This window comes from Homo sapiens, chromosome 1 (assembly GCF_000001405.40).
Source record: "Homo sapiens chromosome 1, GRCh38.p14 Primary Assembly".
Lineage (NCBI taxonomy): Eukaryota > Metazoa > Chordata > Mammalia > Primates > Hominidae > Homo > Homo sapiens.
The window spans coordinates 156,165,883-156,192,509 of record NC_000001.11 but is presented as its reverse complement, the minus strand read 5'-3'; the positions used below and the strand labels follow the sequence as shown (position 1 = coordinate 156,192,509).

At 47.6% G+C, this 26,627-nt stretch overlaps 1 protein-coding gene and 1 pseudogene across 18 annotated transcripts in view, besides 4 other annotated features; one reads left to right on the top strand and one right to left on the bottom strand.

The window, feature by feature from the left end:
- Positions 1–333: 333 nt before the first annotated feature.
- LOC124900449 (uncharacterized) lies at positions 334–447 on the top strand (annotated as a pseudogene).
- Positions 10,072–10,574: an enhancer, noted in NCBI's record as "OCT4-NANOG-H3K27ac hESC enhancer chr1:156151727-156152229 (GRCh37/hg19 assembly coordinates)". NCBI's record gives its function as "activates a minimal SCP1, AML or CMV promoter by ChIP-STARR-seq in naive H9 embryonic stem cells {active_cell/tissue: H9 hESC(naive)}" and the evidence as "EXISTENCE:reporter gene assay evidence [ECO:0000049][PMID:30033119]".
- Positions 10,575–11,078: an enhancer, noted in NCBI's record as "OCT4-NANOG-H3K27ac-H3K4me1 hESC enhancer chr1:156151223-156151726 (GRCh37/hg19 assembly coordinates)". NCBI's record gives its function as "activates a minimal SCP1, AML or CMV promoter by ChIP-STARR-seq in naive H9 embryonic stem cells {active_cell/tissue: H9 hESC(naive)}" and the evidence as "EXISTENCE:reporter gene assay evidence [ECO:0000049][PMID:30033119]".
- Positions 12,086–12,588: an enhancer, noted in NCBI's record as "NANOG-H3K27ac-H3K4me1 hESC enhancer chr1:156149713-156150215 (GRCh37/hg19 assembly coordinates)". NCBI's record gives its function as "activates a minimal SCP1, AML or CMV promoter by ChIP-STARR-seq in primed H9 embryonic stem cells {active_cell/tissue: H9 hESC(primed)}" and the evidence as "EXISTENCE:reporter gene assay evidence [ECO:0000049][PMID:30033119]".
- Positions 14,766–26,627, bottom strand: part of SEMA4A (semaphorin 4A) — a 30,372-nt gene continuing 18,510 nt past the window's right edge. For 17 of the 18 annotated variants that reach the window (XM_047427664.1, XM_047427677.1, XM_011509878.3 and 14 more), the window contains 5 exons: positions 19,504–19,684; positions 17,570–17,688; positions 17,267–17,424; positions 16,854–16,954; positions 14,766–16,105 (listed from right to left, as the gene is read on the bottom strand). In XM_047427664.1, coding sequence (XP_047283620.1) covers positions 15,513–16,105; positions 16,854–16,954; positions 17,267–17,424; positions 17,570–17,688; positions 19,504–19,684 — 1,152 coding nt within the window. In that variant the 3' untranslated portion in view covers positions 14,766–15,512. Of the gene's footprint in view, positions 16,106–16,853; positions 16,955–17,266; positions 17,425–17,569; positions 17,689–19,503; positions 19,685–26,627 lie in introns of those variants that run through there. The other variant, XM_047427678.1, reaches the window with a different exon arrangement.
- Positions 15,106–15,608: an enhancer, noted in NCBI's record as "H3K27ac-H3K4me1 hESC enhancer chr1:156146693-156147195 (GRCh37/hg19 assembly coordinates)". NCBI's record gives its function as "activates a minimal SCP1, AML or CMV promoter by ChIP-STARR-seq in primed H9 embryonic stem cells {active_cell/tissue: H9 hESC(primed)}" and the evidence as "EXISTENCE:reporter gene assay evidence [ECO:0000049][PMID:30033119]".

Below are 26,627 nucleotides of genomic sequence, written 5' to 3'. Positions count from 1 at the left end.
GGCATCTTCCCAGACGCTGGCATTACCGCTAGACCAAGGAGCCCTTTGGTGGCCCTGTCTGGGCATAACAGAAGGCTCACACTCTTGTTTTCTGGTCACTTCTCACTATGTCTCCTCAGCTCCTATCTCTGTATGGCCTGGTTTTTCCTAGGTTATGATTATAGAGCGAGGATTATTATAATATTGGAATAAAGAGTAATTGCTACAAACTACTGATTAATGATATATATAATCATATCTAAGATCTATATCTGGTATAACTATTCTTCTTTTATATTTTATTATACTGGAACAGCTCATGTCCTCGGTCTCTTGTGTCGGCACCTGGGTGGCTTGCCGCCCACACAACCAAATTAAAAAATAACACAGAAGGGTAAGGTAAGTCTCCATTAAACCCAGGAAAGAGACTGGAAAACTCCTCTTTGGAGCCTGTCTATAGTCACAGGTGAAATAAAAGAAATAAAAGGAAAGAAAAATGGGCAAAAGACTTGAATAGACCTTTCCCCAAAGAAGATATACAAATGGCCAAGAAGCACATGAAAAGATGCTCAACATCATTAGTCATTAAGGAAATGCAAATCATAACCAAGTTGATAAAATGCCACTTCACACCCACTAGGGTGGCTAAAATTAAAACAAACAAAAAGCCGAAAATGAGCGTTGGTAAGGATGTGGAGAAATTGGAACCCTCGGATCTTGCTGGTGGGAATGTAACATGCTACAGTTGCTGTGGAAAACAGTGGCAGTTCCTCAATAAGCTAAACATAAAATTAGCATATGATTCAGCAATTTTACTCCTGGGTATATACCCAATACAACTGTAAACAGGTATTCAAACAAAAACTCATACACAAATGTTTATTTTTAGCAGCACTATTCACAATTGCCAAAAGTAGAAACAACCCAAATGTCCATCAACCCATGAATGGGTAAACAAAATGTGGTATATTTACACAGTGGAATAGTATTAAGCAATAAAAAGGAATGAATGTATGCTACAACATAGATGAACCTTGAAACCATTAAGCTAAGTGATATAAACCAGATACAAAGGCCACATATTAGGTAATCCTATTTATTTGAAATAACCAGAATAGACAAATCAATAGAGACAAAAAGCAGATTAGTGGATAAGTGATTGCCGGAAGTCTGGAGATTGAGGGAGAGGATGGAAAGTAACTAATGGGTTCAGGGTTTCCTTTTGGGCAATGAAAATGTTCTAGAACTAGGTAGTGGTGATGGTTGCACAATACTGTGTATGTATTAATGTTATTAATAGTAAACTTTATGTTGTGTGTATTTTACTATTTTTATTTTTATTTATTTATTTTTTTGGAGACAGAGTCTCACTCTGTCTCCCAGGCCGGAGCGCAGTGGCATGATCTTGGCTCACTGCAATCTCTGCCTCATGGGTTCAAGTGATTCTCCTGCCTCAGCCTCCCAAGTAGCTGGGATTATAGACACCAGCCACCGTGCCCGGCTAATTGTTTGTATTTTTAGTAGAGATGGGGTTTCACCATGTTGGCCAGGCTGGTCTCAAACTCCTGACCTCAGGTGATCCACCTGCCTTGGCCTCCCAAAGTGCTGGGATTACAGGCATGAGCTACTGTGCTGGGCCTACTATTTTTAAAAATTGATATTTCTAGGATGGGTCCCTCCTTCTAAACTCCAGACTTATTTATAACTGCCTTAAAATATCTAATGGACATTTCAATCTTAGTGTGATGGTTAGTTTTCTATCAACATGGCTAGGTTATACTACCTTTTTATTCAATCAAACACTAATATAGGCCAGGCATGGTGGCTCACACCTGTAATCTCAGCACTTTGGGAGGCAGAGGCGGGTGGATCACTTGAGATCAGGAGTTTGAGACCAGCCTGGCCAACATGGGGAAACCCTGTCTCTACTAAAAAGAAAAAAATACAAAAATTAGCCGGGTGTAGTGGCACGTGCCTGTAGTCCCAGCTACTTGAGAGGCTGAGGCATGAGAATCACTTGAACCTGAGAGTAGAGGTTGCAGTGAGCCCAGATTGCGCCACTGTACTCTAGTCTGGGCAATAGAAGGAGACTCTGTCTCAAAAAACAAACAAAAACCCCACTAATCTAGATGTTGCTATAAAGGTTATTTTGCTGGCACAGTTAACATCTAGTCCGTTGACTATAAGTAAAGGAGATTGCCTCAATAATGTGGGTGGGTCTCATCTAATCATTTGAAAAGCCTGAAGAGCAAAACCAAGGTTTCCCCGAGGAAGAAATTCTGCATTAAGACTGTAACATCACCTGCTGTCCCCAGAGTTCCCAGCCTGCAGGCCTGCCCTACAGATTTCAGACTTGCCAGCTCCTACAATCAAATAGCCAGTTCCTTGAAAAAAGAAAAAAGAAATATGCAGGCCAGGCGCAGTGGCTCATGCCTGTAATCCCAGCACTTTGGGAGGCCAAGATGGACAGATCACTTGAGGTCGGGAGTTCAAGACCATCCTGGCCATCATGGCGAAACCCTGTCTCTACTAAAAATACAAAAATTAGCTGGGCGTGGTGGCGTGCACCTGTAATCTCAGCTACTTGAGAGGCTGAGACACGAGAATTGCTTGAACATGGGAGGCAGAGGTTGCAGTGAGCTGAGATCATGCCACTGCACTCCAGCTTGGGTGATAAAATGAGACTCTGTCTCAAAAAAAGAAAAAGAAAAACTGTATATATGTATATAAATGCTCTGTATATAGAATATATTTTCTATATATACATATTTTACACATTATTTATAATACTTTTTATATATTATAAATTTTATATATTGTAGGAGAGCGGTCAGGGTGATGGGAGAAATTACAGGGAAAGACACAAACGTTCTTGGAAGGCTGGGAGGTTTTGCAAAGCTTCGAAAGAAAATTTGGCTGAAGGCAGCCAAATTCTCTTATTCGGAGCCTGAGAGCAAAGGGTAGATAACAAGGGAATATAAAGGAACTAACCTAGATAAATTTGTTTACTCCTGTCTCCAGAAACAAACCTTTGATCATTCACACACAGGACTGGTCTCTACTTGGGGGGGTGACAATGTTTATTACCCACAAATTGTGTTTGCCCCAAGCCTTTGTCATTAAATCTGTACTAAATAAATGTGAGTGTCACCAGCTTAGTGGGGCTGCGAACTCTCTTCGGCCCCTAGTGCTGGTAGTTCCCTATCCCGCTCTTTCACTGGATACCTATGTCTGAGTACTCCTTTCATTCATCGCTGGGCTAGAGTCTGAGGGACAGACTTAGCAGGTGGTGCCCCATGTGAGAAGTGCTGCAATGGATTGCAATGGAACCCTCGAAAACGAAGGTGAAGAGACTGTGCGGTCAGTAAGTCAGTAAGTCATTGGTGCCCACTTGGGATTTCCAAATTCAAGGGAATTGTTCATGCTAGGGTTTCATCATGGACAACAGTTATCAGCTCAACAGCAACAGTATATAAAAGTATTGAAACAGCTGCTTAAAGCTAGCAGAACCTCGGTTTCACAGGCTCAATTAAGGGACCTAATGCAAACTGTTGTTTCCCCTAACCCATTTTTCCCAGAAGAAGGCATGCTAGACATAGAGCTCTGGGAACAAGTGGGGAGAAATCTTAAACAACATTATGCACAAGGGCAACAGGTCCCAGTAACATCTCTAACGTTATGGGCCTTAGTCAGGGCTGCTTTGGCTCTGCTCTACACAGAAGAGCCTCAAAAGGGAAGGGAGGAGAAACAGTCACCTTCCTATCTGCCTCCCTCTACCTCAGCCCCGCTATCACTGGGAAAAAATACCTGAGCCCCCCCTCCAATAAATTGTTTTTTTTTTTTTTGAGATGGAGTTTTCGCTCTTGTCGCCCAGGCTGGAGTGCAACGGCGCGATCTCGGCTCACCGCAACCTCTGCCTCCCGGGTTCAAGCGATTCTTCTGCCTCAGCCTCCCAAGTAACGGATTACAGGCATGCGCCTCCACGCCTGGCTAGTTTTGTATTTTTAGTAGAGATGGGGTTTCTCCATGTTGGTCAGGCTGGTCTCAAACTCCTGACCTCAGGTGATCCGTCCGCCTCGGCCTCCCAAAGTGCTAGGATTACAGATGTGAGCCACTCCGCCCAGCCTCCTATAAATTGTTAAAAAGACAAGGGATATGCTACAGTTATGGGACCCTATCTTAGGCAAGCGGCATTAGAAGGGGAGCTCTTAGCCTGCCTGGTAATGCAAGATCGACAAGGCAATCAGGTACATGAACCCCTTTCTTTTGATGCTTGTAAAGAGATAAGAAAAAGCATTAGAGAAAACGGAGCCGCTATCCCATTTACAAAAGGATTAATTGAGTCCATAGCAGACAACTTCCGTATGACTCCATGGGACTGGTCAATGCTAGCAAAAACAACTTTAAACACCAGTCAATACCCCCTCTGGAGGGCAGAATTTGATGAATAATGTAAACAACCAACCCTTTTCTAGTAATGGCCACTGTTATTCCTCCCCTACCCCTAACATGGCTCTCTCAAAATCCTATTTGGGTAGAACAGTAGCCTTTAAAGGGAGAGAAATTATAAGGAGTCCATTAATTAGTTGAGGAACAATTAAAAGCCGGCCATATAGAACCATCAAACAGCCCTTGGAATTCACCCATTTTTGTCATTCCCAAAAGGTCTGGCAAACGGAGACTTTTGCATGACTTACGGGCTATCAATGCTAATTTGCAACCTATGGGGCCCCTTCAACAGGGCCTCCCCCATGGTAATTCCTCAAGATTGGCCTATAGTCGTTATTGACTTAAAAGACTGCTTTTATTTTTTATTTTTTTTATTTTTTTTATTTTTTGAGACGGAGTCTCGCTCTGTTGCCCAGGCTGGAGTGCAGTGGCGGGATCTCGGCTCACTGCAAGCTCCGCCTCCCGGGTTCACGCCATTCTCCTGCCTCAGCCTCCCAAGTAGCTGGGACTACAGGCGCCCGCCACTACGCCCGGCTAATTTTTTTGTATTTTTAGTAGAGACGGGGTTTCACCGTTTTAGCCGGGATGGTCTCGATCTCCTGACCTCGTGATCCGCCCGCCTCGGCCTCCCAAAGTGCTGGGATTACAGGCATGAGCCACCGCGCCCGGCCAAGACTGCTTTTATACTATTCCCCTTGCAGAACAGGACAGAGAAAAATTTGTATTTACAATACCAGCTATCAATAATGAAAGGCCAGCTCACAAATCTCATTGGAAAGTTCCTCCTCAAGGAATGCTGAACAGTCCTAGCCCACTCTTTCACTGGATACCTGTGTCTGGATATGTCTGTATCATATAAATCAGGCTTTGCTCCCCAATAGAAAAGAATTTCCTAATTGCAAGATTATTCATTTTATGGATCATATTTTACTAGCAGCCCCAATGGAGCCAATGCTTTTCAGTTTCTATGCCTCTGTCATAAAGAATACACAGTTAAGAGGTTTAATCATAGCACCTGAAAAAGTACAGTTGTCCTCTCCTTGGAAGTATCTTGGATACATACTAACTTCTCGGTCAGTAAGATGTCAAAAGGTTAAATTAAATATTAGCAACTTACACACCTTAAATGATTATCAAAAAATACTGGGTGGTATTAATTTGCTTCACCCCATCTTGGGCATAACTACTGATAAGTTACAAAACCTGTTTTCTATCCTAAAGGGCAATACAGCCCTAGACTCTCCCAGGTATTTAACTCCTGCAGCAAAAAGGGAAATTGAGGAAATAGAGCAAGCTATTTCTCAGAGGCAGCTAGATCACATAGACCCATGATATTCAGTTCTATTGTTTGTTTTTCCTACTAAGCATTCCCCAACAGAATTAATAGGACAGATGGCCCCAGGGCTATGCTTTCTAGAATGGGTTTTTTGCTCACATACCGGGACTAAAACACTATCTCCCTATATCCAGCTAGTTATTGAAGTCACCTACACAAGCTGCAGATGATGCAATCAGTTGCTAGGTTATGACCCTGATGTCATAAGAATTCCTTTGAGTAAAAAGCAATTTGAAGCAGCATTGCCCCATCTCTAAATCTTCAGATAACACTTTCTAATTATGTAGGCCATATAGAGCATGCCTTTACTGCTGACAAACTCATTCAGTTCTTATCTTGTACTCCTGTAATTGTGCCTACAAAAGTAGGCACATACCTAACACTTTAATGCTTTTTACTGACGGCTCTGGTAAAAATGGAAAAGTGGCTATTTGGTGGAGACCACATAATTCCCTCACTTGTTCTGGATTTACTAGCACTCAGAGAGCTGGGGTTGAAGCCTTAATATTGGCCTGGAGAACTTTTCCACTCAGCCTATCAATATTGTTGGTGACTTTGCTTACTCTGTTTATTGCAGAACCTTGAAACAGGCCTCATTAAGTCTACTGTCGAGCCCACCGTGTGCACGTTTTCTTCAACTTCAGCAATTGCTGGATCAACGTACACACCCTATTTTTATCATACACTATTCAAGCCCACAGCTCACTGCCTGGCCCACTGGCTTATGGCAATAATCAAGCAGACCTGCAAGTTATGATGTCACTGCTTGACCAAACCACATAATCACATCAATTTTTCCACCAAAATTGGAGGAACTTAACAATTTCAACTTAACCAAAGACTAGATAAACAAATTATCCTGCAGTGCCCAGATTGCCAGCTCACAGGCACGTCCCCTCCTTTAACAGGTATTAACCCTAGGGACTAGAACCTAATCAGTTATAGCAAAGAGATGTTACTCAAGTCCCTGAATTTGGAAAACTAAGATATGTACATGCATCCGTTGATACCAGTTCTCACTTAATTAGTGCTCATGCTCTTCCTGGAGAGTCCACCTGGTATGTCATTAAACATCTTCTTTTAACCTTTGCACTTATGGGGTGACCCACAAAAATTAAAACTGATAATGGTCTGGCTTATGCTAGTTCACAATTTCAACAATTTTGTTATACATGGAATATCCAGCATTCCACAGGCATCCGTATAACCCCCAAGGATAGGCCATAGTAGAATGTGTCCATTCCTCTCTTAAAAATATGCTCAGAAAACCAAAAAGGGGAATTATGAGTAAGGACCCTGCAACACTACTAGCACAAGCCTTATTTACCCTTAATTTCTTAAATTTAAATGATAAATTTCAATCAGCTATAGAAAAGCACTTTGCTAAAACCTCTCGAGACATAAAACCCACAGTTTTATGGAAAGATGTAAATAGTAATGTATGGTGTGGTCCAAATGATTTGCTAACGTGAGGAAGAGGATATGCTTGTGTTCACACCCCCCTCAGGTCCTCTTTGGATTCCAGCACAATGCATCAAACCTTACCAGAGTGTGGGTAGAACCTAACCCGGTAATAAAGAAAATAATCCTGCAGGACTCAGCCCTGGACAATGTGGCTTCCTCAGACAACACAGGCCCCAGACTGAATGCTAAAGAAGACAACTCAGGAGGCTAAGCGAATCCTGCTCCAAACACAAACATGTTCACTCCAAATAATTTGTTCCTTTTTTATTCTCTCACTTTGCCTACTACCTGTACCTGCTACACTCTATTAGGCCCATCTTCTAATTCTGCCTTTCTTCCACCCTGTTACTTAGACAAACACCCCCTTCCCAGCTTCTAATAAAGCAACTGCTAGGCTAGAAGGGATTGACTTACCCCAAGTGGGGTTCCTCAGTAATGGCACACATTAGACTGAGGTGCTAGGTAACACTACATGTCACTCCTTGATTGGAAAGGAATGTTACTGATTATACTCAGGTTTGTCTTACGTTATTTACTAATTCTAGGATGCAAAGCCAAAATACAAGCAGTGACCGCTACGCCTGACAAACCTGTTGCTGCACACATCTGTACTCTTCAATCAACAAAACCTGATGCAAAAAACAGAAAAGGGGGAGATGTAGGAAATTGGTCAGGGTGGTGGAAGAAATTATAGGGAAAGACACAAACCTTCTTGGAAGGCCGGGAGGTTTTGCAAAAGCTTCGAAATAAAATTTGGCTGAAGGCAGCCAAATTCTCTTATCCAGAGCCTGAGAGCAAAGGGTAGATAACAAGGGAATGTAAAGGAACTTATCTAGATAAATTTGTTTACTCCTGTCTGCAGAAACCAACCTTTGATCATTCGCCTGCAGGACTGCTCTCTACTTGGGGGGTCGACAATGTTTATTACCCACAAATTGTGTTTGCTCCAAGCCCTTGTCGTTAAATCTGTACTAAATAGGCCGGGCACAGTGGCTCACGCCTGTAATCCCAGCACTTTGGGAGGCCGAGGTGGGCGGATCACAAGGTCAGGAGATCGGGACCATCCTGGCTAAAGTGGTGAAACCCGTCTCTCCTAAAAATATTTAAAAAAAAAAAATTAGCCAGGCACGGTGGCGGGTGCCTGTAGTCTCAGCTACTTGGGAGGCTGAGGCAGGAGAATGGCATGAACCCAGGAGGCGGAGCTTGCAGTGAGCTGATATCGCGCCACTGCACTCCAGCCTGAGCGACAGAGCAATACTCCATCTCAAAAAAAAAAAAAAAAAATCTGTACTGAATAAATGCGTTACCGGCTTAGGGGGGCTGTGAATTCACTGGATACCCGTGTCTGAGTACTCCTTTCATTCATTGCTCGGCCAGAGTCTGTGGGACAGACTTGACAACATGTATATATAAAATCTACTTGTGGCCAGGCGCGGTGGCTCACGCCTGTAATCCCAGCACTTTGGGAGGCCAAGGTGGGTGGATCACGAGGTCAGGAGTTCAAGACCAGCCTGGCCAACATGGTGAAACCCCCGTCACACACACACACACACACACACACACACACACACACACACACACACAAATTAGCCAGGTGTGATGGCGTGCGCCTGTAATCCCAGCTACTCAGTAGGCTGAGGCAGGAAAATTGATTGAACCCAGGAGGCAGAGGTTGCAGTGAGCCAAGATCACACCACTGCACTCCAGCCTGGGTGACAGAGCAAGACTCCATCTCAAGAAAAAAAAGAAAGGAAAAAAAAATATCTACTTTGGGAGGCTAAAGTGAGAGGATTGCTTCAAGACCAGCCTGAGAAACATAATGAGAACCCCATCTCTAAAAAAAAAAAAAAAAAGGGCCGGGGGCCTTGGCTCACACCTGTAATCCCAGCACTTTGGCAGGCCGAGTGGGCAGATCACCTGAGGAGTTCGAGACCAGCCTGGCCAACATGGCAAAACTCTGTCTCTATTAAAAATACAAAAATTACCCAGGCATGGTGGCAGGTACCTGTAATCCCAGCTATTCAGGAGGTTGAGCCAGGAGAATCACTTGAACCTGGGAGGCAGAGGTTGCAGGGAGCCAAGATCATGCCACTGCAGCACTCTAGCTTAGGCGACAGAGTGGGACTCCATCTCAAAAAAGAAAAAAAAAAAAAGGCAGGCAATGTGGCTCATGCCTGTAATCCCAGCACTTTGGGAGGCCAAGGAGTGAGGATTGCTTAAGTCCAGGATTTCAAGAACAGCCTGGGAAACATAGTAAGATCCTGTCTCTACAAAAAATAAAAAATTGTCTGGGCATGGTGACTCACGCCTGTAATCCCAGCACTTTGGGAGGCTGAGGCGGGCAGATCACTTGAGGTCGGGAGTTCAAGAACAGCCTGACCAACATGAAGAAACCCCTTCTCTACTAAAAAAAATACAAAAATTAGCCAGGCGTGTTGGCGCATACCTGTAATCCCAGCTACTTGGGAGGCTGAGGCAGGAGAATCACTTGAACCTGGGAGGCAGAGGTTGCGATGAGCAGAGATCGCGCCATTGCACTCCAGCCTGGGCAACAAGAGTGAAACTCCGTCTCAAAAAATAAATAAATAAATAAATAAATAAAAATTAAAAATTAGCCAGCCATGATAGCACATGCCTATAGTCCCACCCACTTGGGAGGCTAAGCAGGAAGCTCACTTGGGCTCAAGAGGTTGAGGGTGCAGTGAGCTACAACTGAGCCACTGCACTGCAGCCTGGGCAACGGAGTGAGACCCTGTTAACTGTAACAAAAAACAATTGTAGACACCCTTCCTACTCCCAAACTGCTTTCCCCAGATCCATTTTTTCCCTGTAGTACATCATCATCTAATGTACCCTACCTTGAAGGGGTGGGTTGCCCCTCCACACCTGTGGGTGTTTCTCGTTAGGTGGAACGAGAGACTTGGAAAAGAAAAAGACACAAAGTATAGAGAAAGAAATAAGGGGGCCCAGGGGACCAGGGTTCAGCATACGGAGAATCCTGCCAGCCTCTGAGTTCCCTTAGTATTTATTGATCATTCTTGGGTGTTTCTCGGAGAGGAGGATGTGTCAGGGTCATAGGATAATAGTGGAGAGAAGGTCAGCAGATAAACACGTGAACAAAGGTCTCTGCATCACAGACAAGGTAAAGAATTAAGTGCTGTGCTTTAGATATGCATACACATAAACATCTCAATGCCTTACAGAGCAGTATTGTTGCCCGCATGTCCCACCTCCAGCCCTAAGGCGGTTTTTCCCTATCTCAGTAGATGGAACGTACAATCGGGTTTTATACTGAGACATTCCATTGCCCAGGGAAAGGCAGGAGACAGATGCCTTCCTCTTGTCTCAACTGCAAGAGGCATGCCTTCCTCTTATACTAATCCTCCTCAGCACAGACCCTTTACGGGTGTCAGGCTGGGGGACGGTCAGGTCTTTCCCTTCCCATGAGGCCACATTTCAGACTATCACATGGGGAGAAACCTCGGACAATACCTGGCTTTCCTAGGCAGGGGGCCCTGCCGCCTTCCGCAGTGTTTTGTGTCCCTGGGAACTTGAGATTAGGGAGTGGTGATGACTCTCAACGAGCATGCTGCCTTCAAGCATCTGTTTAACAAAGCACATCTTGCACCGCCCTTAATCCATTTAAACCTGAGTTTGACACAGCACATGTTTCAGAGAACACGGGGTTGGGGGTAAGGTTATAGATTAACAGAATCTCAAGGCAGAAGAATTTTTCTTAGTACAGAACAAAATGGAGTCTCCTATGCCTACTTATTTCTACACAGACACAGTAACAATCTGATCTCTTTCTTTTCCCCACACTACCTAGCTTACTTATTTATACAGTTGAACCTTGACCAACATGAGTTTTAATTATGTAAGTCCATTTTTAAGTAGTTTTTTTTTTTCTGAGACAGAGTCTTGCTCTGTCACCCAGGCTGGAGTGCAGTGGCGTGATCTTGGCTCACTGCAACCTCCGCCTCCCAGGTTCAAGCAATTCTCCTGCCTCAGCCTCCTAAGTATCTGGGATTACAGGCGTGTGCTACCACACCTGGCTAATTTTTGTATTTTTAGTAGAGACGGGGTTTCACCATGTTGGCCAGGCTGGTCTTGAACTCCTGACCTCAGGTGATCTGCCCACCTTGGCCTCCCAAAGTGCTAGGATTACAGGCGTGAGCCACTGTGCCCGGCTTAAGGAGATTTTCTACCGCCTCTGCCCTGAGACAGCAGGACCAACCCCCTCCTCTTTCTCCTCCTCCTCCTCAGACTACTCAGCCGACATTTGTGATGATCCATTTCCACTTAATGAATAGTTAATATATTTTATTTTTCGTATTATTATTATTATTTTTAGAGACAGGATTACTCTGTTGCCCCAGCTGGATTGCAGTGGCATGATCATAGCTCACTGCAGCCTCAAATTCCTGGGCTGAAACAATCCTCCCACCTCAGCCTCCTGAGTAGCTGCGACTATGGGCATGGGCCACCTACCATATCCAGCTTATATACATATATATAGGTAGAGATGGCTAAGAAGGGTTGGGGGTGGGCATGGTGGCTCATGCCTGTAATCCCAGCATTTAGGGAGGCTGAGGGAGGGGTGTTGCTTGAGGACAGGAATTCGGGACAGCCTGGGCAATATAGCAAGACCCCATCTCTAAAAAAAAAAAAATAGCCAGGTGTGGTGGCATGTGCCTGTAGTCCTAACTACTCAAGAGGCTGAGGCAGGAGAATCCCTTAAGCCCAGGAGTATGAGGCTGCAGTGAGCTAGGATCACGCCATTGCACTCCAGACTGGGTGACAGTCAGACTCCGTCTCTAATTTTAAAAAATAAATATGTACTTGTTAGGCTGGGCGCAGTGGCTCACACCTGTAATCCCAGCAGTTTGGGAGGCCGAGGCGGGCGGATCAGCTGAGTCCAGGAGTTCCAGACCCACCTGACCAACATGGTGAAAGCATGTTTCTACTAAAAATACAAAAATTAGCTGGGTGTGGTGGCAGGCGCCTGTAGTCCCAGCTACTCAGGAGGCTGAGGCAGGATAATCGCTTGAACCTGGGAGGCAGAGGCTGCAGTGAGCTGAGATTGTGCCATGTAGGGGTGGGTTGCCCCTACACACCTGTGGGTGTTTCTCGTAAGGTGGGACGAGAGATTTGGAAAAGAAAAAGACACAGAGACAAAGTATAGAGAAAGAAAGAAGGGGACCCGGGGAACCAGCGTTCAGCATATGGAGGATCCCGCCAGCCTCTGAGTTCCCTTAGTATTTATTGATCATCTGTGGGTGTTTCTCAAAGAGGGGGATGTGTCAGGGTCACAAGACAATTGTGGGGAGAGGGTCAGCAGACAAACACGTGAACAAAGGTCTTGGCATCATAGACAATGTAAAGGATTAAGTGCTGTGCTTTTAGATATGCATACACATAAACATCTCAATGCTTTACAAAGCAGTATTGCTGCCCGCAGGTCCCACCTCCAGCCCTAAGGCGGTTTTTCCCTATCTCAGTAGATGGAGCATACAATCGGGTTTTATACCGAGACATTCCATTGCCCAGGGAAAGGCAGGAGACAGATGCCTTCCTCTTGTCTCAACTGCAAGAGGCATTCCTTCCTCTTTTACTAATCCTCCTCAGCACAGACCCTTTACGGGTGTCGGGCTGGGGGACGGTCAGGTCTTTCCCTTCCCACGAGGCCATATTTCAGACTATCACATGGGGAGAAACCTTGGACAATACCTGGCTTTCCTAGGCAGAGGTCCCTGCGGCCTTCCGCAGTTTTTGTGTCCCTGGGTACTTGAGATTAGGGAGTGGTGATGACTCTTAAGGAGCATGCTGCCTTCAAGCATCTGTTTAACAAAGCACATCCTGCACCGCCCTTAATCCATTTAACTCTGAGTTGACACAGCACACGTTTCAGAGAGCATGGGGTTGGGGGTAAGGTTATAGATTAACAGAATCTCAAGGCAGAAGAATTTTTCTTAGTACATAACAAAATGGAGTCTCCTATGTCTACTTCTTTCTACACAGACACAGTAACAATCTGATCTCTCTTGCTTTTCCCCACAGTGCCACTGCACTCCAGCCTGGGCGACAGAGCAAGACTCTGTTTCAAAAAATACACACACACATACACACACACACACACACACACACACACACACACACACACACACAGTGGCGCAATCTCGGCTCACGGCAGACTCTGCCTCCTGGGTTCAAGTTATTCTCTTACCTTAGCCTCCAGAGTAGCTGGGACTACAGGTGCCTGCCACCACACCTGGCTAATTTTTTGTACTTTTAGTAGAAATGGGGTCTCGCTATGTTGGCCAGGTGGGTCTTGAACTCCTGACCTCAGGTGATCCACCCACCTCGGCCTCCCAAAATGCTGGAATTACAGGCATGATCCACTGTGCCAGGCCTTTTTTTTTTTTTCTTTTTTTTTTTTTTTATGGCTAAGGGGGTACGTTGTATGGTTTGTTTTTTTTTTAACCAAGATTTAAATTAAAAAAAATTTGAGAACACATAATAGAAGAAAATTGTGAGAATGGGGTGGTCAATATGTGAGGGGCATACACACACCAAGGTCAGATTTGGCATTAGGGGTTTATGGGTAGTTTCGGAGAGAGCCATTTGAGCAGAAAGGTGGGGAAAGAAGCTAGACCTCAGGGGATTGGAGAGAGCTCAGGCGACACTGGAGGGAGGTGGGGGCAGCCAGAATGGACTCACTCCCATGTTTGGTGGTACCAGGAAAGAGAGACTGAGTGGGGGTGACGTGAATGGATAGAGTTTGTGGTAAGATTAGTGTTCTGTTGTTTTTTTATCTAGAGAACGCCTGAACACACCTGTAGGTGGGAGAGGAGAGATGAAAGATGAGGAAGTGGGTAAAGCGAGTGGGGATGCTGGAGGTCAGATGATTAGAGAACAGATCCCTGGCAGTGATGGGGGGAGAGATGTGCTGGTTAGTCTTGGTGGAAGAGGGACCTGTGCCTTTGTGACAGAGGGTAGAGGAGGAAGGTGGTGTGGAGGTGTGGACAGAGCATTATCAGATACTGAGAGAGATGTGGCCAGGATGGGGGTGGATGCACAGTCTTTCTATAAATTTGTCTACCAACAGTTGAAGCCAACTGCTGCAGTGGGGAAGCAGGGCTGAATTGGAGTCACGAGAAGTGTGGGAGAGGTGTGGACAGCAACTGTGGGGGCCGCAGCAGGGGAGTTAGTGATGGATGAGGTATCGCCTGTCTAGCAGAAGGATACAAGCTGAGCCTGGTCAACACCAACCTGTGGTTGGCCCAAAAGGCAAAAGTTTGCAGCACCCTCTAGCAATGCTCAGAGTGGAGGAAAGTGCTGTGGGCTGGTTCTGGGTGGGCTGGTTCTGGGTGGGGAGCTGGCAGGGCAGAGGAGGTAGTCTGGAGTTGGAGAGAACAATCCCCCCACAAACCTAGTCCTCCTCCCAACTGATGTGCTTGGACTGCTTGCTCCCTTGACATCCCAGCAATTCTCTGCCGGAGCACTCTGCTCCAGCAAACACAGCACCCATCATACATAAGCCTTATATTTTTAATAAAAAATAAACAGTCTCTGACAAGCAGTTTTCTGAATCCCAAAACAAAGGAAAAGGGAGGGGGAGAGGTGAAGGGGTCAGCTAGGGTAAAGGAGTGAAGAAGGCTCAGATTACCCCTGCCATTCTGCCAGGGCAGAAGGGATCAGAGTCTGCCCCAACTGAAGCAAGAAGAAAGGTGGTCAGACTTCAGGAAAGACTTCCTGGGAGTCAGCGGTGCACGACTGGTAAGGGAAGCAGGAGGGAGCAGATCCCTGCATGACCCTGGGAGAAGGGAGTGTTGGTGTCCAAAGCGGCAGCTTCAGAGTGGAGTTTCCAGGAGTGGCATGTTAGCATATGATTGTTTAGATGTTTGGTGTTCATTACCATAGGGTCCTGGGACAGGCAGGTTTTTTAGGGTCTCTTGAAACACTGTGTTTCTGGAGGGTCCCTGGAATGGCCAGAACTGAAGGATCCTCTCCAGGTTCTTCAATATCAGTGTAGGAGCAGGTCTGGGGGTAGCCCCCACCCTGTTAGAGAGCTCATGTGCTTGGTAGAAGGGAGTCCCATAGGGGAGGCAGACTGCTGTGCATCACCCTGCTGAGTGTCATCAGTGATGCAGAGTAGCAGAAGCTCCTCTCAGGGGAGAAAGGTGGTCTTTTGTGCTGCTGTCATCCTAGTCAGGGCTGTGCTTGGGCCGCCCAGCCAGCATGGCCAGGTGCCTGCACCGCAGCCCCGGCCTGTGCCTAGAGTTTAAGCTACCTCAGTGCCTAGGCAGTTGTTGTCAGCGTCCACATCACTGGCAGAGGTCCTGCATTCCTTGGGAGACTGGAGGTGTTGCTCTCTGCTTAACGGGGCCTTCTCCCCAGGGCGCAGGGTCTCACAGCCCTGAACCTTGCCCCGAGCCCGGAGTGCTCTCAATGGGGAGGCCACGAGGATGATGAGGGCTCCTGAAAGCACTAAGGCAAAGAGGACAGTGACAGTGACAAAGTGGGGCCAGTAGGACTGCTGGGCAGCCAGGGCGGCCCCACCACTGACCCTGGTCAACGGGACCTTCACATGCTCCCGGGGGATGCCTGCCAGTTCAGGATCCAGGGCCAGGGTCTGGTCCTGGCTGTCCACCCAGTAGGAGATCACAGGGTATGAAAAGCCATTCTCAGTTGCCCAGCACTGGTAGAGACCCCCAACTCCATCCTGCACTATCAGCAAGAGGGAGCCATTGTAGACAGTGGAAGAGGCTTCTGGGACTGCTGCTGGGCCATGACTCCAATAATAAGAGGCCAAGGCTGACAGGTGGGGGCAGGGGAGCTCCAGGATGGAGTTGGGGACAGCCAGGACTTCTTTAACTGTAGGAGAAAGAAAGGAGCAAAAGGGTTAAGGGAGAAGTGAAGGATGGAGACAGGAGAGAGTCTCTAACCTATCTTTGGACCCCAGCCCTCTTTTTTTTTTTTTTTTGAGGCAGGTTCTGGCTCTATTGCCCAGGCTGGAGTGCAGTGGCACAACCTCAGCTCACTGCAACCTCAGCTCACTGCAACCTCTGCCTTCTGGGCTCAAGGCATCCTTCCACCCCAGCCTCCCGAATAGCTGGGACTACAGGCATGTGTTTCCACGCCTGGTTAATTTTTGTAGAGATGGGGTTTTACCATGTTGGCCAGGCTGGTCTGAAACTCATGAGCTCAAACAATGGTAGAAGGGAGTCCCGCCTCAGCCTCTCAAAGTGCTGGTATTACAGGAGTGAGCCACTGAGCCTGGCCTGGACCCTAACTCTTATCTCCAACTTCCATTTCAATCCCAAACTCAAATTTCACTCCTCCTTAATCTCCAGTCTGGACCCCAAACTAAGCCCCAGTCCACCTAACTCCAACTCAGACACCAAAATCAACTGCAACCTCAATCCTGAATCCCAGCTTGGCCTCCAGCTCAGAATTCCTATGCCTCTTCCCTATAGCCAGGACCCAAATCCATCCCAACTCGGGTGTTCAGATCTCAAGCCAGGCAGGTGCTGGGGGAGGAAATTGGAGCAGGAATGCCCACCCCTGCCCAAAAGTCTTCCAGAGCCTTTGCACCTCCCCTGGTGAGTGGTCCTACACTCACTGATTTGCGGGCGGCTCTGAGGCCGAAGGCTCCTGCTCATGGGGCCACTGGCACATGCCCACTCTGGGTTCCCCCGCTCCATGTCCTGCTTCCAGGAGTTCCTAAGAGAGCAGAGAAAGTAAAAATTATCCTTCAAAAGAGCTGAAAGTGGGAAGAGGAAGGAGGAAGGGAGGAAGTGCAGTAGGGAAGAAGGTAGGCCAGGGGAGACTAGGAACAGAGAGAGGAACGCGGAATGGCCAGAGCAGCTTCAAAACTGCCTGGAAACTCCATCCCTGGAGGAACCCACTGCAGGATGGGAGGACTCTTGGAGTGAATATGTCAGTAGCCCCTGGAGAGAGGAAGAACAGTAGCAGAAGCTGGCTGAGAAGGGTCCTGGCTGGCCATCCAGGCCACCATCCAGGACTGGCACTCACAGGTTGGGGGCAGACAGGAGGCAACAGGTTCGGGACTCAGGGTCCCAGGCACAGTGGGGGTCCCGGGCAAGGACACAGTCCACACAGCTCTCATAGACACTACAGTTGGCTCGGGGCACCCTCCAGACACCTCCTGAGAAGCCTACAAACACTGCACCCTGGAAGAGAGATGGAGATTGTCAGGGAGCCCCAGCCACATCTAGTAAAGTCCCAGCACGCTGGTGCAGGCCCAGGGAGCCAGCCCAACAGGCCCCCAAGGCCAGCCCCACTGGAAGGCCATTTGATGGTCAGGTCCCTTCCCACCTGGGTGGGGGCCAGCTGCAGGTTGCGAACAGGTTCAGGGTCAGGGAACAGCTGAATCTCTTCCACCAGATGAGCACTGCTGTCCCCACTTACCACAGCCTTGTGGAGCGACCCTGTGGCTATGGGGAGACAGAGAGAGTGGAAGTCATCTCATCTCATCCACAGATCCCTTCCCAACTTCCGGGGGCCTCCCCAGCTGTAAGAAAGCTCCTTCTGAGGGTGATATGTACTGGGCGCGGGTCAGCCAGATCATTCACCTTCCTCTGTGCCATGGAGATGGCAGTCTCTTGTAAATGACTAAAATCCCTTGGACCCCTGTCCTTCCTTTGCAACTCCCTGACAAAACTTTGTCCCTGGAGAAACCCAGCTATTTCTCCATAGGCATGAAACAGTGGGCGGCTGGGTGCTTCTGTAGAAAATCACATCACCTGCCTCCCTCACATCCATCAAGCACCTCAGTGAGGTCTACCTGGCCACCCTTTTAACAGGTGCAACCTCCTTACCTGGCATTCCTGATTCCCCCGCACACACCTCTACGTGACTCAAATCTCATGATGTGCCATGTAATTTACTTATTCAGGATGCTATTGTCTGTCTCCATCCACTCCACAAAGACTGAGATTTTTGACTGTTTTGTTCTCTGCTGTATACCCAATACATGCACAGCTGATACAGTGCCTAGTAATCTGTCCTGAAGGAATGAATGAACTTGACAAATTTCTTCCACTGACCCTCAAGGTTATCCTGCCTGAGCAGTCTGCCTGGGCAGTCTTGCTGCATTCTCTGCTGACTCCGTCTCCCTCTTTCCACAATGGCTATTTTTTTTTTTGAGACGGATTTTCACTCTTGTCACCCAGGCTGGAGGGCAGTGGCACAATTTTGGCTCATTGCAACCTCTGCCTCCCAGGTTCAAGTGATTCTCCTGACTCAGCCTCCCGAGTAGCTGGGATTACAGGTGCGTGCCACTACACACTGCTAATTTGTTTGTATTTTTAGTAGAAACGGGTTTCACAATGTTGGCCAGGCTGGTCTCGAACTCCTGACCTCAGGTGATCCACCCACCTCAGCCTCCCAAAGTGCTGGGATTACAGGCGTGAGCCACTGTGCCCAGCCCACAATGGCTATTTGAATCTACCTCTCTCTCCTCAAACCTCCCACCTTTCCTGCCCCCTCACTCCCAGCTCATGACCTTGTGTCCTCCACCTACATAGAGAACACAAAAGCCTTCAAATAAGAGCTCCCTTGGCTTCCTACCCTGAGCCTGCACACCCACCAAGTCACACCCCGCTGCTACAGCTTCACTCCCAGCCCAGCTCAGGTGCTGTCCCCCCCGCCACCCACAGCTGCCCAGCTCGACATGTGTCCTGGACTCTGGCCGCCTGCTCCCGCCACAACTTTACCTGCCACTTATCCCTTCTTCTACCCATCTCTTTGCCATCCCCCTGTCTACTAGATGCTTAGTCCTTCCTGTCTACAAAACAAGAACCCTGGGGGCAAGGAGGGGGAAAAAACAAAACCAAGAACCCCAGCTGCGCCCCACTCCGTGCTCCAGCCACCACCTCCTTCCTCTCTCCCTTCACAGACGAGCTTCCTGAAGGAGTGATCTCTACATGTGCGGTTTCCAGCTCCCCTCCACCCACTCACCTTTCATTCCTCTAACATAGCTTCCCTCATAAGACACACAGCTCTTGATAAAGCCACCAAAGACCTCCCTGTCTGCCTCCCCCACCATAGGAAGCTCAGAAAGGGTAGGGAGTGGACTGTTTTGCTCCTCTGCTGTATTTCCAGAACCTAGCAGAATGCCAGGCACATAGCAGGTGCTCAGTAAACAGTTGTTGAATGAATAAGTGAATGAACTCAAGGGTTTCCCTCCTCAACCTGGGGGCATCCTCTGCTCTAGTCCTCTGGGGGATGTCCCGGAACTCTTTACTCACTGGTTCCCAGGTACATGACAAGATGGCTGTGCCCATCAAGGCCCTGGGCTGTCTCCACTGCAAGCCGTGTATACTCCACGCCAGATTTCACCAGCAGGGGCGTCCCCACCACTTGCTCATCCATCAGGAAATGGTCCTTCATGAAGGTCAGGGCCTTATCAGAGGAGGGGCCCACTGAGCACTAAAGGAGGAGGGAGGCAGATCAGGTTGGTTTGCCCCTTCCCCTCAGCTCACCCTCCCTCCAACGCCTGCTCTTCTCCCTTTACCCCCTCCCTCATGGCAGTCCTCATTTCAGGGTGGTGGTTAAAGCTCCGACTCTGGAGCTGCCTGATTGTGCGTCCCAGCCTCTGCATGCCTGAAGTTTCTCAGCTGTGAAGTGGGCCTATTACCAAGACCTGCCTCATAGGCTCGCTGGGAAAATGAAATGCACTAATACATGAAAAATAATTCAAACAGTGCTTGGCATGAAGCAAGCACTCAGCAAATGTTAACTGTTATTACTGTTCTCCTCCTTTGCACCTCCAGCAAGGAGGCCTGGCAGCCAGCAGGAAGCAGGACGAAGCCTCCTTATAGGCAAGTACCAAGTTTTATGGCTGGGCGCAGTGGCTCACACCTGTAATCCCAGCACTTTGGGAGGCCTAGGTGGGTGGATCACCTGAGGTCAGGAGTTCGAGACCAGCCTGGCTAGCATGGTGAAACCCCGTCTCCACTAAAAATACAAATATTAGCTGGGGGTGGTGGCATGCCTGTAATCACAGCTACTTAGAAGGCTGAGGCAGGAGAATCACTTGAACCCAGAAGGCAGAGGTTGCAGTGAGCCGAGATTGTGCCACTGCACTCCAACCTGGGCGACAGAGAGAGACTCCGTCTCAAATAAATAAATAAATAAATAAATAAATAAATAAATAAACAAACAAACAAACAGCCGGGCACAGTGGCTCACGCCTGTAATCCCAACACTTTGGGAGGCCGAGGCTGGCGGATCACGAAGTCAGGAGATCGAGACCATCCTGGCTAACATGGTGAAACCCCGTCTCTACAAAAAATAAAACAAAATCAGCTGGATGTGGTAGCAGGCACCTGTAGTCCCAGCTACTCGGGAAGGCGAGACAGGAGAATCGCTTGAACCCGGGAGGCAGAGGTTGCAGTGAGCCGAGATTGCGCCACTGCACTCCAGCTTGGGCGACAGAGTGAGACTCGGTCTCAAAAACAAAATAAATAAATTAATTAATTAATTAATTAATTAATTAAAAAATACAAAAATTAGCCAAGCATGGTGGCAGGCACCTGTAATCCCAGCTACTCAGGAAGCTGAGGCAGGAGAATCACTTGAACATGGGAGGCGGAGGTTGCAGTGACCCAAGATTGTGCCACTGTACTCCAGCCTGGGCAACAGAGTGAAACTGTGTCTCAAAAAAGAAATTTAAAAAAGGACCAAGTTTTACTCATGTCTGTATTTCCCAGCATAGCACAGGATCTGGCACACAGTTGGTGCTCAATAAATGTTTGCTGAGTCAATGACTGAATGGATGTCACAGAAAGGGGTGGTGTAGCACGGAGCATTTCTCCTCACGGTTTTGCACGAACTTGCTGCATGACTCTGGGAGAATCCCTTCTCCATTCTGAGCCTCCTTTTTCTCACCCATAAAATGAGGGGGTTGGACCAACTGTTCTCTAAAGGCCCTGCTAATATGAGGATGCTGTGGCTCTGGGACACCCGTGTCTTGATCTTCAGTCAGGATCCTTGTTCTCCAAGAGCACTGTCTTAGGGCCAGCCCCAACTCTGTCACCTATAAGCTGTGTCCTTAGACAAGCTGTTTCACCTCTCTGACCTTCAACCTCATCTGCAAAATAGGTAATAACATCTACATCTCATTTTGATGCCAGAATGAGCACATGCACCTACTCTCATGTCCTCCCAAAGGGTTTTTTTGTTTGTTGTTTTTTATTTTTACAAATAGAGACAGGGTCTTACTATATTGCCAAGGCTGGTCTCAAACTCCTGGCCTCAAGTGAACCTCTTACCTTGGCCTCCCAAAGTGCTGGGATTATAGGTCAAAGGGTTTTTTTTTTAAAAAATTGTTTTTTGAAACAGGGTCTCACTGTCATCCAGGCTGGAGTGCAGTGGCATGATCTTGGTTCACTGCAGCCTTGACCTCCTGGCCTCAAGCCATCCTCCTACCTTAGCCTCCTGAGAAGCTGGAACCACAGGTGTGTGCCACTGTGCCTGGCTAATTTTTTTTTTTTTTTTTTGAGACGGAGTCTCACTCTGTCTCCCAGGCTGGAGTGCAGAGGCCTGATCTTGGTTCACTGCAAGCTCCGCCTCCCGGGTTCACCCCATTCGCCTGCCTCAGCCTCCCGAGTAGCTGGGATTACAGGCGCCCGCCACCACGCCTGGCTAATTTTTTTCTATTTTTAGTAGAGATGGGGTTTCACCATGTTAGCCAGGATGGTCTCGATCTGACCTCATGATCTGCCCACCTCGGCCTCCCAAAGTGCTGTGGGATTACAAGCGCCTGGCCTTTTTTTTTTTTTTTTTTTTTTTTGAGACAGTATCGCTCTGTTGCCCAGGCTGGAGTGCAGTGGCACAATCTTGGCTCACCGCAACCTCCGCCTGGAGAATCAAGCGATTCTCCTGCCTCAGCCTCCCAAGTAGCTGGGATTACAGGCACCCGCCACCACGCCCAGCTAATATTTGTATTTTTAGTAGAGACGGGGTTTCAACATGTTGGCCAGGGTGGTCTCCAACTCCTGACCTCAAGTGATCCACCCACCACTGCCTCCCAAAGTTCTGGGATTACTGGCATGAGCCACCACGCCTGGACCCAGCTAATTTTTTATTATTTGTAGAGATGGGGGTCTCACTATGTTACCCAAGCTGATCTCCAATTCCTGGCCTCAAGTTATCCTCCCACCTCGGCCTCCCAAAGTGCTGGGATAACAGGCATCAGCCATCGCACCTGGGCCAAAGGGAATTTTTTTTGAGACGGAGTCTTGCTGTGTCGCCAGGCTGGAGTGCAGTGGCACGATCTCGGCTCACTGCAACCTCCACTTCCCGGTTTCAAGCAATTCTCGTGCCTCAGTCTCCCAACTAGCTGGGATTACAGGCACATACAACCACACCCAGCTAATTTTTGTATTTTTAGTAGAGACGGGGTTTCACCATGATGGCCAGGATGGTCACGATCTCCTGACCTCATGATCCACGTGCCTCGGCCTTCCAAAGTGCTGGGATTACAGTGTGAGCCACCACGCCCGACCAGGGAATTTTTAAAAAGACATAAACCAGCCAGGCGTGGTGGCTCACACCTGTAATCCCAGCACTTTGGGAGGCTGAGACGGGCGGATCACGAGGTCAGGAGATCGAGACCATCCTGGCTAACACAGTGAAACCCCATCTCTACTAAAAATACAAAAAAATTAGCCAGGCATGGTGGCGGGCGCCTGTAGTCCCAGCTACTCCGGAGACTGAGGCAGGAGAATGGCATGAACCTGGGAGGCGGAGCTTGCAGTGAGCCGAGATCGCACCACTGCTCTCCAGCCTGGGCAACTGAGCGAGCAAGACTCCGTCTCAAAAAAAAAAAAAAAAAAAAAAAAAAGAAAAGAAAAGACATAAACCTAGATGAGGGAGGGATGGGGAGAACAAGAGAGAAATGCAAAAGCATCCACATTTTGGAAGCTGGAAAGCGAATGAACAAATAGAAAAGACTTAACAGAGAAAGAGAGAGAGAGAGAGAAGAATCTTCTCAAGCCAGCCCTGGAGGAAGCCCCAAAACATTTGGAAGGCAGGATTCCTAAAGTTCACGAATTACTAATCTCAGCAACCTCTGGAAGTGAGGTTAATGGGGATGCTAAATAAGGAGGATTATTTGAAAGTCTGTTTAAGAAACAGGCAGGTACTCTCCAAACTCCACAGAGCTGGGTGACTGCCCCTTCCACATCCTGGCCCAAGACTGGAGGTTTATCCACCAGAGAGAGTAAAACAGAGGGTTTCTGGATGGAGGATAGCAGGCCCAGTTGATGGGGACACCATCCTGAAAGAGGGGGATTCAATAAGGTAAGTACACTACATGATGAGACTCTTTCCCAAACCCAACCCTCTTCCCCTGTGGCTCCCAGACACCAAGAGCCAGATCATCTGCCTCTGCACAGAAGACTAGAAGAGGCTGCTCTGGGAAACTGACTGGAGGTCTAAGAGGAAAGACTTAATGACCTAAGATACAGTAAAGATACTGACATTGAAGATTCCCACCAAACAGCCCAGCCAGACCACCCTCAGTGGTGACATAACAGAGACCAAATTGCCAAGACTTAGTTATGGACACAGAGCTCCAAACAGCTTCAAGGTCTCCCACTGTTAAATATGAGTACACATTCAAGGACTACCAGACATGTAAGTAAAACCACCAACATGAAGGAAACCAAAATAAACAAATAGGGGAAAAAAAAAAGAAGAAGAAGAAGAACCAACAAAAACCTGAGAGGCCAGGCATGGTGGCTCATGCCTGTAATCCCAGCACTTTGGGAGGCCGAGACGGGCAGATTGCCTGAGGTCAGGAGTTCGAGACCAGTCTGGCCAACACGGTGAAACCCCATCTCTACTAAAAATAGAAAAAAATTAGCTGGGCGTGGTGGTGGGCGCCTATAATCCCAGCTACTCAGGAGGCTGAGGCAGGAGAATCGCTTGAACCAGGGAGGTGGAGGTTGCAGTGAGCCGAGATCGTGCCACTGCACCCCAGCCTGGGCAACAGAACAAGACTCTGTCTCAAACAAAAAAAAAGTAAGCTGGGCGCAGTGGCTCATGCCTGTAATCCCAGCACTTTGGGAGGCCGAGGCGGGTGGATCACCTGAGGTCAGGAGTTCAAGATCAGCCTGGCCAACATGGTGAAATCCCATCTCTACTAAAAATACAAAAATTAGCTGGGTGCTGTGGCGGCGCACGCCTGTAATCCCAGCTACTCAGGAGTCTGAGGCAGGAGAACTGCCTAAAGCCGAGAGGTGGAGGTTGCAGTGAGCTAAGATCGCGCCATTGCACTCCAGCCTGGGCAACAGAGTGAGACTTCATCTCAAAAAAAACAAAAAACAAACAAACAAAAAAACTAAGAGGAAACAGAAATGAATCAGAAAGAAGAAAACTTCACAGAAATCCATCATTACTATCCTATGAGAGATATGTGAAAACAGTGCATCCATGAAACAGGAAGCGAATGCTGCCAAAGAAGAGTCTTTCCTTCACACAAAGAGGGCTGCCAGGCATTACGTGCATCCAGAACAAAGAGCACACAACCACGATGAAGTAATCTTGCCCCTCCTCCAAACCAAATCTGAATCCGATTAAGTCTCTAGATCCAACTACTGAACAATTTACAGGAAATACTTAAACTACACTACAGAGATGCAATCATCAAGATCCAGGCTGTGGAAGACTCTGACAAGCAAAAAAATGCACGAGAAAAATAGAAGATGGAAAGGGATTATGTAAATATTTTTCTTTTTCTTTTCTTTTCTTTCTTTTTTTTTTTTTTTTTTTTGAGACAGGGTCTCACTCTGTTGCCCAGGCTGGAGTACAGTGGGGTGCAGCCTCGACCTCCCGGGCTCAAGTGATCCTCCTACTTCACCCTTCCAAGTAGCTAGGACTACAGGCACGTGGCACAACACCCAGCTAATTTTTAAATATTTTGTAGAGATGGGGGTCTTACTATATTGCCCAGGCTGCTCTCAAACTCCTGGGCTCAAACAATCCTTCCACCTCAGCCTCCCAAAGTGCTGGGATTGCAGGCTCGAGCCACTGTACCTGGTCTTAAATTTCTTTTAATCTATACAATCCCAGGTGAGGCATGGTGGCTTACACCTGTAATCCCAGCACTTTGAAAGGCTGAGGTGGGAGGATTGCTTGAACCCATGAGTTTGAGACCCTGCCTCTACAAAATATTAAAAAATTAACTGGGTGTGGTGGTGGGTGCTTGTAGTTCTAGTTACTCAGGAGGCTGAGGTAGGAGGATCACTTGAGCCCAGGAGGTCGAGACTGTTTGGCAGAAACGAAAAATCTTTTTCTTTCTTTCCTTTCTTTTTTTTTTTGAGATGAAGTCTTGCTCTGTCATCCAGGCTGGAGTGCAGTGGCACCATCTTGGCTCACTGCAACCTCCACCTCCTGGGTTCAAGAGATTCTTCTGCCTCAGCCTCCGGAGTAGCTGGGACTACAGGTGTGTGCCACCACGCCTGGCTGATTTTTGTATTTTTAGTAGAGACGGGGTTTCACCATGTTGGCCAGGCTGGTCTGGAACTCCTCACCTCAGGTGATCCACCTGTCTCAGCCTCCCAAAGTGCTGAGATTACAGGTGTCAGCCACTGCACCTGGCCTTCTTTCTTTTTTCTTTCACTGTCTCTGAACACAGAAATGAAAAACCTGACAGAAAGATTGGAAGACAAAGTTGAGACACTCTTCCAGAAAAATAGAACACAACCAAAGACTTGGACAGTAGGAAAGCTTAAAAAAAGTGAGAAGACTAGTCTAGGAGGTCCAGAAAAAAGTGAGAAAACACCCCATTGGAATGTAAGCCCCATGAGGCAAGGGACTTTCATCTGTTTTGCTCACTTCTATATTCCCTGCCCAGAATAGTAGCATGTGTCCTCAAAAAATATTTGTTGAATGAAAAGAAGATAGGGCCGGGCACAGTGGGTCACACCTGTAATCCCAGCACTTTAGGAGGCCAAAGCAGGTGTATTGCTTGAGCTCAGGAGTTCAAGACCAGCCTGGGCAACATGGTGAAACCTAGTTTCTACTAAAAATACCAAAAAAAGACCGAGCACAGTGGCTTACACCTGTAATCCCAGCACTTTGAGAAGCCAAGGCAGACAGATCACCTGAGGTCAGGAGTTTGAGACCAGCCTGGGCAACATGGTGAAACCCTGTCTCTACTAAAAATACAAAAATTAACTGGGCATGGTGGAGGGCACCTGTAGTCCCAGCTACTCGGGAAGCTGAGGCAGGAGAAGTGCTTGAACCTGGGAGGTGGAGGTTGTAGCAAGCCAAGATAGAGCCATTGCACTATAGCCTGGGGGACACAGCAAGACTCCATCTCAAAAAAAAAAAAAAAAAGAAGATAGGAAGATATAGTTCAAGA